Here is a 1,607-nt window from a genome sequence, read left to right as displayed (position 1 = left end):
AGGCAGGATTCTATATCTGGTGTAGCTGTTCAGTTACTGAGTGATGACAGAGAGAGTCATTTGACCTCAGCAATGATCCTTTTGCAGAGTAGAGGCATCATAAGACCAGAGAGTTTTCAGAGCATTCAGAAGCTCTTGCAGGCAAGATGCTCTGTGTGCAATTTAGCTGACAGCCTACTCTCCTCTCTCGGGAACCAGATTTCACCTTGTTGGGGGCTAGGAGCACCCAAAATTCCTAGTTCTGTGTTCTCATATCACAGTGATAAGTAAGTGGTAGAAACAGCAATGGGGTTATTACTAAAATGTCTTTGAAGCTTGTCAGCCCAGCTTTGGATAAACAGCTGACATTAATCCAAGAATAGACTTTCATCAAGAAGCAGGAGAGGAGAAAGGTTGTCTTGGAGGGAGTGGGGATTTTATTATTATACGACTAAAATCATCAGTGAAACAGAAAAAGTTTACATCCCCTACATGCAAAGCTTTGCAACACCACAGGGACTCAATCAAATAAATGTCATTTTCACTCTAAGACCAAGGGAGAGGCTCTTGTAAACATCTAGGTTCTGTCCAGTTTAGGATTTCCCCTGATCTTTCAAATTCTCTAACCCATTAAAGTACCAAATAGAGATTTGACCAGAATTGGAACACAGCAGCAAATCTTAGGCCCTTTTCGGAGAGTGCTCCTGAGGAAGGACCTCAGGATGGGTAAACGTAGGAGAGAGAGGGAAGAAGGAAAAGAAAGACTCTAAAAGGTTTGAAAGGAGCCATTTACACTTAGGATGTGCTCCTCTCTCTAGACTCAGATTCACCTGAATGTTTTTGATGCAAGGGAAAGAAATAACTGAATGCTTCTGCAATTCCAGATTACTCCTTGGAATTGGAGGTGTGGTGAGGACTGAGACTCTGTGCCCCTACCCAGAGAGAAGTTAAGGAGAACAGATAGATTTGCGGCTTAAAAGGCAGCTGCCCTGGGCTCCCCTGTAGCACACTACTAGTTAATAGAAAGAAGATATAGGTGAAAAGCCCTGAATATAAGGTCTATATTGCCATGACTTGTTCTTTAGATGTTTAAATCATGTCTGATCTCTCCAAGTGGATCCATACCCTATTCTTTGAAATTCCATGTAGCACTAACAACATATTTGGGCATTCTTGGAGCCTCATTTTCCCAGTCTGTGCTCTCAAGTGATGAGGAAAAATTATGAAGACAATACCTTTGCATTTGCCTTTTCTTTTTTGATGAATGACTTTAAAAGACCAAACCTGAGTTCACCTACAGTGCAGTGATGAATTTTACACTTACGTGTGTGAACTTTGCCATCTTGTTCTCACATTGGCTCAGGCACGCAGATCTCTCAATACGTCCACCAAACGACTCTCTTGGGTAGCATGATGGCTGACACATGGCTAGCATTTAGTAGGGGACTCTGAGCAGAATCCTAGGTCATCAATTAGTAATGATTGGCAGGGCTGATATTTGACTACAGCTAATGGCCCTGAGGTCTCCAGGACTCAATGACTCATTCTCACCCTGACCTTTGCACTCTAGCAAATGTGTTTTTGTGTTCAATGGCAGTATTTCTTCAAGTCATCCAGAACAGTACATT

This window comes from Homo sapiens, chromosome 5 (assembly GCF_000001405.40).
Source record: "Homo sapiens chromosome 5, GRCh38.p14 Primary Assembly".
Classification (NCBI taxonomy): Eukaryota; Metazoa; Chordata; class Mammalia; order Primates; family Hominidae; genus Homo; species Homo sapiens.
This window is presented reverse-complemented; position numbering follows the sequence as displayed.